Source organism: Homo sapiens, chromosome 8 (assembly GCF_000001405.40).
Source record: "Homo sapiens chromosome 8, GRCh38.p14 Primary Assembly".
NCBI classification, from domain to species: Eukaryota; Metazoa; Chordata; class Mammalia; order Primates; family Hominidae; genus Homo; species Homo sapiens.
This window is the reverse complement of record NC_000008.11, coordinates 130,875,560-130,885,913: the sequence shown is the minus strand read 5'-3', so window position 1 is coordinate 130,885,913 and position 10,354 is coordinate 130,875,560. Positions and strand designations below refer to the sequence as shown.

The 10,354-nt window shown below is 39.6% G+C and overlaps 1 protein-coding gene and 2 long non-coding RNA genes across 7 annotated transcripts in view; 1 reads left to right on the top strand and 2 right to left on the bottom strand.

The window, feature by feature from the left end:
• The window catches only part of ADCY8 (adenylate cyclase 8), a 260,609-nt gene that overhangs the window by 154,996 nt on the left and 95,259 nt on the right, over positions 1-10,354 (top strand). For 2 of the 4 annotated variants that reach the window (XM_005250769.4, NM_001115.3), the window contains exon 8: positions 1,153-1,350. The exons of the other annotated variants lie outside the window; for them this stretch is intronic. In XM_005250769.4, the coding sequence (XP_005250826.1) occupies positions 1,153-1,350 (198 nt within the window). The remainder of the gene's footprint in view (positions 1-1,152; positions 1,351-10,354) is intronic. 4 annotated transcript variants of the gene reach the window in all.
• LOC105375761 (uncharacterized) lies at positions 16-1,369 on the bottom strand. Its single transcript, XR_001746091.3, has 3 exons — positions 1,263-1,369; positions 375-518; positions 16-73 (listed from the first exon to the last, which is right to left on the bottom strand). It is a non-coding gene; the product is annotated as an uncharacterized LOC105375761 (long non-coding RNA).
• The window catches only part of LOC105375762 (uncharacterized), a 34,014-nt gene continuing 25,423 nt past the window's right edge, over positions 1,764-10,354 (bottom strand). For both annotated transcript variants that reach the window (XR_928658.2, XR_928656.3), the window contains exons 3-4: positions 2,146-2,257; positions 1,764-1,840 (exon numbers count right to left, since the gene is read on the bottom strand). This is a non-coding gene — a long non-coding RNA (uncharacterized LOC105375762). The remainder of the gene's footprint in view (positions 1,841-2,145; positions 2,258-10,354) is intronic.

Here is a 10,354-nt window from a genome sequence, read left to right as displayed (position 1 = left end):
CAGGCTGCCATTTGATGACTCCATAATCTTATCTTCATCTAGCCTGTGTTCTAAACATAGCCAAGCTGAGAGGCTGGCAGAGAAAAGCAAATGCAGTGAGTGTGTATAAAGGCAGAGAATTTTCACTTCCTTACTCACTCTACAGATGCGTGGCATCCTCTACTTTCCTTCAAGAAGATCTATTGGAAGGATGGGTTGGGCTTCCTTGTCCCTATATATCCCTTCAGGTCCAACTCACACTTTTTTTTTTGTTTTTTGGTCTAAGAAGCTGCCTTAAATTGGTGCTGTGAGTGAACACTGCATTTGGCTAGATACAGCCAGTTAATCTTATCCTGGCTACTGAATCACCAGGAGGAAAGGTCTCCTTGCCAAACCTGGTGTGTCTTCGTAAGCCAATGCAGTTTCTGCATCCATGTATCCATATCCAGTGACCAGCCGTGGTGGTTATGCCTTTCCCCGTCTCGTGCTGTGTAACCCTGTGAAATGGTGGGAGGCTGCAAGTTGCTTGCATTTTTTACCTAAAAGAAATTACACACATATATCTATATGAATATATAGATATATAATGGCCTATGCTGAGGGAGGGACATATTAGCGAAGTAAAAAATTTAGCAATCTTTATCAAGTTTAAGGAGCAGATCCTGGCATATTTGGCTGTCTTTCTATGAGTAATGCTAAAAAAAAAAAAAATGCAAGCCATAAGACCCCAAGTCTCTCCACCACCATTAAATGAAAGGTCACACGAAAATGTGGAATCTACTCAGTTGGAGATGATCATTTTTGGGGACTTTTAACATATATTTACTTTCTGTTATTTTTTTGGTTCTCTTTCTCTCATACCCAGGTTGTGCCTGGTTAGAGAAAGGGTCTTGATTAACATTTCTAAGCCAACAACTCTCCAAATACCTCAACCAAAGGAATTCAGTGTGCCTACATAGAGAAAAAGGAAGTGTCCCTCTGGATGTGATATTTTGCCAGGTTGTATTTCTCTGCACCAAATGCTATCAGATCAACTTCTGTAGGTTTCACTGAATACAACTGCATGGAATGCTATTACTGTTTGCAATGCAACATGATTTAAAAACATTGCATTTCTGTTTTATCTAAAGGGGACTAGCAGGTTTATTGTGTTTGCATGTGCTTTCCCCCTAGACTCTGGCTGCCCTAACAAGAAATTCAATAAATCTGCTTCCAAACCATCTTGCACAAGCTTTGCATGTCCAGTCTGGGCCTGAGGAAATTAACAAGAGAATAGAACATACCATCGACTTGCGGAGTGGCGATAAATTGAGAAGAGAGCATATCAAGCCATTCTCACTGATGTTTAAAGACTCCAGCCTGGAGCACAAGGTAGAGCTGGGTCTCCACAGCGGCTCTTTTTCTGAGTAAATTGTGGTAGATGTTCATGGGACTAGAGAGAGAGCCCAGGGGCTGTGGTTTTGGTTTCTTTGTTTGTTTGCTTTGGTTTGGTTTGGTACTGTCTTTCATTTTTCTCCTTGAAAATCATGAGTAGACTGAAGGTCATGAAAGGAGATGAGAGTTAGATTAAGAGAACATCAGCTTGCTCTTTAAGGAAAAGAAGACTCAAAGAACAAAGACTCCTTTAACTCAGTAAGCATCAAGAGTTTCTTCCACTTTCAGATTATTAAGCCAAGTGGCATTAACAGCCACTTACCTTTGCTTTTAGATGAATTCACATCAGCTGCAACCATTTTAACATAATAAATGAGGGCACCCAATAACTTGATGTAAGCGGTCAGTGATAAACACTGTCTTTCTTAGATTTTAGATATCTATTCTCCCCTTTCCCCAGTTGTCTGCTGCCTCAGAGTCTTCTGACCTAGGCATAGTAGAAAGAAATGGGTTGTGGATTCAGAGTCAAATTTGAATTCCACCTCTGCCACTTTCTTGCTATGTGAACTTAGATAAGTAAAGTAACCTCTCTGAGCGTGAGTTCCCCTCTGTATGATGAGGATAATGAATGCACCTACCTCACAGTTAATATGAAAGTCTTCAGGGCAACACCTTGATTAGGTAAAGTGTTCAAGGATGGCAGCTATCACCACATTAATGATGACTTTTTCCATTCCCCTCCCCCACCTCAGCTTTGAACTGGAGAAGGGAGTGGGCAGATGGGGTGCCGACCTTGCTTAACTGGGTTGCTCCTTTGTGCTGATAGAAGCTGACAGACCTTCCTTGACTGAGCATAAGAGGTGCCTGGCATCTGCAGGAGCCTTGGGCAGGAACAGCAGGGAATCTACAAGCAAATTTCAGGAGTTTGATTCAATACTCTGTAAAGCTCCAGTGAGCAATTTTTTTGTAAGTTTGTTCAGCTGCCTGGGAGATTTGCTTTCCTTAGTTTAGAGAATTCACAATTCTGTGCACATACAGCATTCCCAATGAGCTTCTTTGATAGCTACCTAAGGATTGCAGACTCCAAAATTAATACCTTCACCTACAGTTCCCAATTTGAGATGGATTGTGTCTATGTACTAACAAAACAAAAGGAAAAGAAACATTTTGCCTCACTCAACCCACACAAAAAAAGTAAAAGACACACTTCTCTTATTCATCATATAATTAAGGGCTTAAGGTCCAAATTAAATACATTTTCTTTCCCGGTTACTGCATTGAAGAAGCTAGGATGAAGAGCAGATTGCTTTACAAAGAAACTTCTCAATTAGCTTGTGTAAATACCTGTGTCCAGAGCTATACAAAACGCTTTTATTTATTTTTGCTAAAGATGTACTTGCTTCACTAATAACCTAACCCGTGCATACTACAGATAGTTTCTAGTGTGTTTTATTTAATAGCATTCACATCTAAGGGAGGAACAGCATGCCTGAGGTTGATTTCTGTGACCAGGGAAGATTCTTCTAGAAGAGCCAGAGTACAGCACCCTGAACAAACATGGGACTTGCCCATTGACAGTCTAGCCACAGACCACCTAGCCTGTGCTATGCATTGCATGGGTTCCCCAGTGGTGATGGCAACAGGACACATCAGCAAACGATCACTCCTCTCCTGTCACCGAGATATTCTTCACTGACTCTTACCGAGATACTCTTCATTGACTCTTGCTCTGAGACCATCTCTAGGGACTGTGTTACTGCTGAGCAGAGAATATATCACAAGTAACATTCATTGGGTATTTACCAAGTACCAGGCACTATTTCTAAGCTGTCTGCATAAATCAACTGACAAAAACAGTAATAAAAAGTAGATGTTATTATGAGCTTCATTTTATACTTGGTGAAACGTGACATGGAGAAACTACTATGAAGCTTTTCCAAAGTCAAACTGTCAGAGAGGGACTGGAATCTGAGCCTACCATGATGCCATAGCCACTGCTCTTGTCTGTTGACTATGCTGCCTCTGCCAGGAGTCCCCAGGACTTGATTTCCCAGGGTTTCGTACGAAGAAGACAATCCCGTGCTGTCTTCATTTTCCTTTTGTCAAACTTTGGATGCAGTGGGAGGCACAGAGAGGGAGTTTACAGGAGAGGCTAAGTAGGAAAGGGTTCTAGAGCCATAACAAAATTAAAACAAGGCTTTCAAATACATAGGATTCCAGAATCAGAAAATAGCATTAATATGCAGTTCCTCTGTGCTTGCTGTTAGATACATCAGTTTACTATTCCACTTACAAAAGAGAAAACTGAACCTCCAAGAGGTTAAGTGGAGATCTTAGATCTCAAAATCCAGCTACTATATTTCATTGACTCTAAGGTGTCATCAACTGTGAGATGCTGTATTTTCTATGCAGCTCTCAGAAAGGAAAAAAAAAAAAAAAAAACCTCAATATGGGTTTCTAAGAGGAAACACACACACATACACACACACACTAATAAACTGGGCTTACACCCTCCGGGTAAGGATATGGGGGGCTGAGGGGCTAGTGGGACAACCCCCTTAGACAAGGGTAGTGAGGAAACCCATATGCCTATACCCTGGTATTGATTTAATAAAGGGAAGAAGCTCCCCAAGAATTTAAACTCCGAAATGGAATCTGCATAGGTTTGCTGCATGAATTCACACTTTGAATGTGGACAAAAAAAAAAAAAAATTATCAGAGAATTTAATTTAAAATGATCCTGGGTTGATATTGCCACCTGGTGACCACAGAAGCAATTGCAAACCTCCCTGGAAAGAACTCAAGATTTTAGGATTCCCCTGATAATAAGGTGCATGCTGATTTCAGAGATGTCAAGGTGTACATTTTAAGGAAAATTGAACATTTTTATTAAGAATATATATCTTAGAATTTTTTAAATACATACAATATTTATGATTCTAAAGCCTTTTCTCTTCCCACTGCCCTACCTTTCTTCTTGGGAACAAGTCTGGACCATAAAAGTATGTTTTCTGAAAGGAAAAATGGAAATGGAAAAATAATTGTTCCTTTGCAATCTTTGTAGGAAAGGAAAGGCTTTATTCCGTTTGAACAATAAGAAGACAAATGAATATAGGAACCCGTTTGCCTTTCCACCTTTATGAAAACACTGAAATGTTCAAACACCGAAATGAACAAAGCTCCATCGAAATGTACAGAAATATCATTCACACATTCCCTGGTCACGTTTGCCTATAATAATTGGCGTGCCTATCCACAACATTATGTGAAACAGGACTTTTATATAATTCATGGTATTGCATAAATACTTGTTGAATGAATAAGGAAATGAATAAAGACTCAGTTTAAGAAGGTTAGATAAGACTGCCTCACCCCCTGTAGCTGTTTTCAGGATATTTTTTGTGAACTCTAAGAGCCGAAAGGCATGGGTCAATTTTGATCTGACTCTTTTTAGTGGAGTTTCAGCAGAGAACAAAAGTTCTGTGTACTCCCTGCCATGGAATTTCAAAGGTGGCTCACTCCCTGCTCCCTCACAGGAGTCTTTTGAGTTAAGCTTCAGAACAGTATGCTCATGACTCATGTAGCTTAGCGAACATATCTTTCCTTCTCTAGTCCTTGGATTCTTTATCTGTGAAATGAGGACGTTGGACAGCTGCTGACCACTTCAGCAGTTAATGCTATAAATCTGTGAATTTCCTATGATCATGGTGGCCATATGTCCTGGTTTGCCCAGGAGAGTAGTAGATGTCTATTTTTACAATGTGAAATTAGTATCACCTCCCTTCACTCTAAAAAATCACCCAGTGTGGATGATATGTAACAAGTCATGTGACCCAAGGCTTGGGCCTCAGCCAGGTTAGAATTAGTGACTCAACATCTTCCTTCACTACCCAGCCAATCATCAGGACTTTCTAAGCAGAACTCTGGATAGGGGAGAGGAGACCTATTGCAGTTGCCAAAGGCCTTCTTCAGCTCTTCCCACATTTCCCAGATGAATCATTTGCCCTTCTTTAGTCAGGCTAGATATTTCCTAAGTGGGCTTACAGATCTCATGGGCAAGCACAAATCAGAACTATGGTAAAGATATGTAGAAAACTTAATGTGTCTGTCAGATGCTACCAATCACATTGGTATTTCCTTATTGAATATTTCTTATTGGATATTTTCTTATTAAAAGAAGAATGCATTTTCACCAGTAAAAGTTGATACTAAGTATAAGGCAAAAAGAAAAAAATGAAATCTCTTTGGATCTTTCAACCCAGGGTAACCACTGTTACCATTCTGGCATCTGTCATTCTGGTCTTACATGAGTGTGAATCTATAGACTTATGTACACAACCGTATTAGTCCATTTTCATGCTGCTGAAAAAGACATACCTAAGATGGGGCAATTTACAAAAGAAAGAGGTTTATTGGACTTACAGTTACACATGGCTGGGGAGGCCTCACAATCATGGCAGAAGGTGAAGGAGGAGCAAGTCACATCTTATGTGGCTGGCAGCAGGCAAAGAGAGAGCTTGTGCAGGGAAACTCCCATTTTAAAAACCATTAGATCTCACGAGACCCATTCACTATCACGAGAATCGCATAGGAAAGACCCACCCCCATGATTCAGTCATCGCCCCACTGGGTCCCTCCCACAACATGTGGGAATTATGGGAGCTACAAGATGAGATTTGGGTGGGGACAGAGAGCCAAACCATATCAAAAATTTTTATAAAAATAGACCATTGTATGCACAGGGCTTCGTAACATAGTGTTAAACATTCTTTGCTTGAGCTTTTTTCCTCATTATTAAATATTCACTTACACAGTAATTTTAGTATTTACATACTATCTCATTGCACATTTAACTATTTCAGGCTTTTAAAAAAAGTTTTTCACTATTATAAATTACAAATTATGTTGTAATGACTATTCTCATAGTTAAATTATGCACTTTTGCTTATTTATTTTTAGGATAAAATCCTAGGGGTGGGTGAAAGAGAATTCACATTTAAAAATACTTAATAGTCATTTTGAAGTTGCCCTCAAAAATTGTGCTTACACTTTTAAAAACTTGTCAATTTGGTAAGAAGTAAAAAGCAGCACCTGCCTGGCATTTCTGTTTTTATTTTTAAAATTATTATTGCAGTAGAAGGTTTGTCAGTACATATTTTGGCCTTTATAATTCTCCTTTTGTGACTTGCACATTTCTTATACCTTGATGGTATGATTTACACATTTGTCTTCATTGCCAATCTTTTATCGCAGTGCTCACCTTTGTCTTTTTTATTTGTGAGCCTTCTTTACACACTGAGGAACTTAACCTTTTGTGGGATCACTTATCTTGGGCCCTTCCATTTTCAGAGCACTTACAAGAAGGTGATGTTTCTCAGCCTCTGGTCCTCACTTCTCTTCTGGGAAATGGCTCTGAATGAGGCTTAGGATAGGGAAGACAATTAATTACATTTACTTATGGATGTTTCCAAGCCAGAGTAGCCAACCCAAAACTTTAGCATCTTAAGAGAGCTTAATAACACAGGAACACTTATTTGGAATTATTTCATTAAGCTAAGTGTTCCAAAAACAATATTATCACCTTATAATAAGGTGACTTCCTCATCTTGAATAAAGATTAAGACATGTTTAATATATACTTCAAAATTGATTGCATATTTATGCTTTGGATATGGGCATTTTTGTGGGTAAACTGTGATAATCAAGCCATATCAAGGAAGATTAAAGTTCCTTCCTTCTTTTAATGCTGATATTTTTCCTCTTGATTCTTAATTGCTTTGAGAAAAGGCATCCTTTGTCCTTGTGACAAATTTATGTACTAAAACTCTCTTTGTCTCAGGCTAATAGTTTTCAAACTTAAGAATCATCTGGGGATCTTGTTTGAAATGCAGGTACCATCCCATCACTCTGCCCCCAAGATTCTGATTTTGCAAGAAGACCTGCATTTTGGTAAATACTCTTTTTTGGATTTTGTTATTCTTGGTTGTTGGCCATCTTTCTCTGTCCTTGATTGAGCATGAGACTCGGGCTGGTCACTTGCCCCACATCTTCAGAGATCAGCTTACATCAAAAAGTCCCCGGGTCCTAACTCAAGGGTAATATGGCTTTTAACAAGTCTAGAGGAGATGTCTCCAAGAGACTAATAATGGCTTCAGGACCACAGTCTTTGGGATCAGCTAGACCTCAGTTCAAGTCCCACTTTGGAAATAGAAGTGAGCATAAAGGACAGTTGATTAGTTTACTGATCAATAATGGGTAATGACAAGTTGATATCTTTCTGTCACTCAAATGGATACACACACACACGTATAAAATCCTCATTTCGCTCACCAGTATTTAGTCTTCGTTGAAAGACAGAGGAAAGAACATAGACTGGATTCTGACTTGAACCCAGTTCCAACCAGTTACCGGTTGGGTGATACAAAGCAAGGGGCTTGATCTCATCGAAATGAGTATGATTGTCTGCCCCTAGGGGTTGTTGTGAAAATTAAATGGCACAATATTCATATAACAGAAGTTTGTATAAATGCAATAGTCTTTCTTTTCCCTTGTCCTTCTAATTAATCCTCTTCTAACCCAAACCTGCACAAGGCAAGACCCTCTTTAAGATAAATCTCATATGGGCCAATCTTAATGCGTCTTGTATCCCAGGGTACCAGGGTTCCAACCGTCATTAATCTAAGCAAGTACAGCCTTGTAGCTCATTGGAAGAGGTGCTTCCAACAATCTCCCAGGATCACTGGAGCACAAGCAGTGACCACCTTGGCCTCTGAGATGTGTTTAAATTTGTAGGTGTCATTTGCTTGTATTTTCTCTAAATGATTTGATTATTCTAAGATCCTTATTATCACTATTTTCCAAAAAAAGATAAGGATTGTTTCTCTCTTCAAGGATGATAGATGTTTTATCATTCCCAAAGGCCATGCTTTTCTTCCTGTGAGGACAAGCCAGCCAAGGATTAGATATTTCACGCATGGGTTTCTTTATGCTCCTGCAAAAGATTGTCTTTCTGTCCACACTTCTTGTGATTCCTTGGGAGTCCATCAGGCATGGCTCAGAGTGTTCACTCTAGTGATTCTTGGGAAGTGCCTCCAGCAGAGCTCAGAGCATTCATGCTATTGATTCTTGGGAAGTCCATCAGGAACAGCTCAGAGCATTCAGTATGCTTGGTTTGGATTCTGTTTGTGTCCACTCCATTGGGCATCTTATACTGAGATGATATAGGAAGACATAAAGCCACAGCTTCTGTGCCCTGGGAACTTACACTCTGGCTTGTGATCTGGGAACTTCCCATCCTAAAATTGGGCATGATAATGGCCACTTTGCAAGGTGGTGCAGATGAAATGCAGATAATACTTAAGTGCCTTGGAGGCTGCAATGAATTGCAACTGAGGCAGCAATGTGACAAGGAAACTGGTATTTGCTGATCACTTACTACCATATCAGGCCCTATCATGACTATTTTAAATGTTTTACCTCATTTTACTTAAGTGTCACAACTTCCTTTATGGAGGTACTAATTGTACTATTTGACAGGTAAGGGAGTCTCAAAGAGTTTGAGCAGCTTTTCCAAGGCCCACAGTAATAGAAGGCAGCAGAGTGGGGATTCAAGTAGAGTTCACTGTGTCTCCCAAGCTATTCTACCACTTCTGCCACACCTTGAAAAATCCTGTCTTTCTCCTAAGCACCTGATTTTCATATAGTTTGAAATTCAAGAAGGATGCAGCCAGTGGGTTGCAAGGGAGGAGTTATACAGTAATGCATATGGCAAATATACCATAGAGACCAAAAAAAAGTTAAAACCATGAACATTTCTTTTATCCTCTATTCATTCCCCCCTGCCCCCCTACACACACACAAATATCCACACATGTCACACATGTACACATACATAGGCACACACATATACAAACAATCCACCTCTTGTTTCTGGCAACAGACACAATCTTGATAAAGGTAGCCTGAAAACAAAGGCAACTCTATCACCCTAACTATGCATGAACACGTAAGAATCAAATAAGTGAATACATGAACACATGAAACATTTTTTCTTAGGCCAGTGGGAGAAGGAATGATGAGTCCTCGAACCACCGTTGAACTGTGTATCCCAAAAAAGGCTGATTAGCTTGAGCAATCAAGGAGGTAGTTTTGTGACAAGATGGCTCAAGAGAAGACAAAGCCAGAAATAGCCTCCCAGAACAATCAAACCCGGCCGGGAGTGGTCACTTATGCCTGTAATCCTAGCATTTTGGGAGAATGAGGCGGGTGGATCACTTGAGGTCAGGAGTTCAAGACCAGCCTGGCCAACATGGCAAAACCCTGCCCCTACTAAAAATACAAATATTAGCCAGGTGTGGTGGCACACACCTGTAATCCCAGCTACTCGGGAGGCTGAGGCACAAGAATCGCTTGAACCTGGGAGGCAGAGGTTGCAGTGAACTGAGATCGCACCACTGCACTCCAGCCTGGGTGACAGAGCAAGACTCCATCTCAAAAAAAAAAAGATCAAATTCATATTAAACAAAACTGAAGTTGAATGAGCTTCGTTTGCTACACACAACTAAGCTTTTGCCAGTTTTATATTATGATAACTATTGTAAATAGTGCTTACTATGAACCAAGTTCTGTGCTGAGTATTTTCAAAAACATTCATTTAATGTTATTTCTTTTTTCGGTTAGCAGCCACATAAAACCAAGGATTTGCCACACAAGAGAATCTTTAGATAATTATTTGGCTCAGTACAATTGGTTCTTAGCTATGTCCAGAATGTCTCTCAGTTTTTTTCTGTCATTTATAAAGAAAATCAAAGTTAAATGGAGGCTTTAAAAACTTCAAGAAAAATGAATCATAAACTCTAAAATGTTTCTTACTTCATCCCATCAACTTTTATTGGAGTTGTAATGATTAGTATAAAATAATAAAGGAGAAATCTGGGCAAAGAAAAGAAGGCTAAGCAAATGAATGAATTTTCTGATGGGTTATGATGTTGGACTCTGGAAT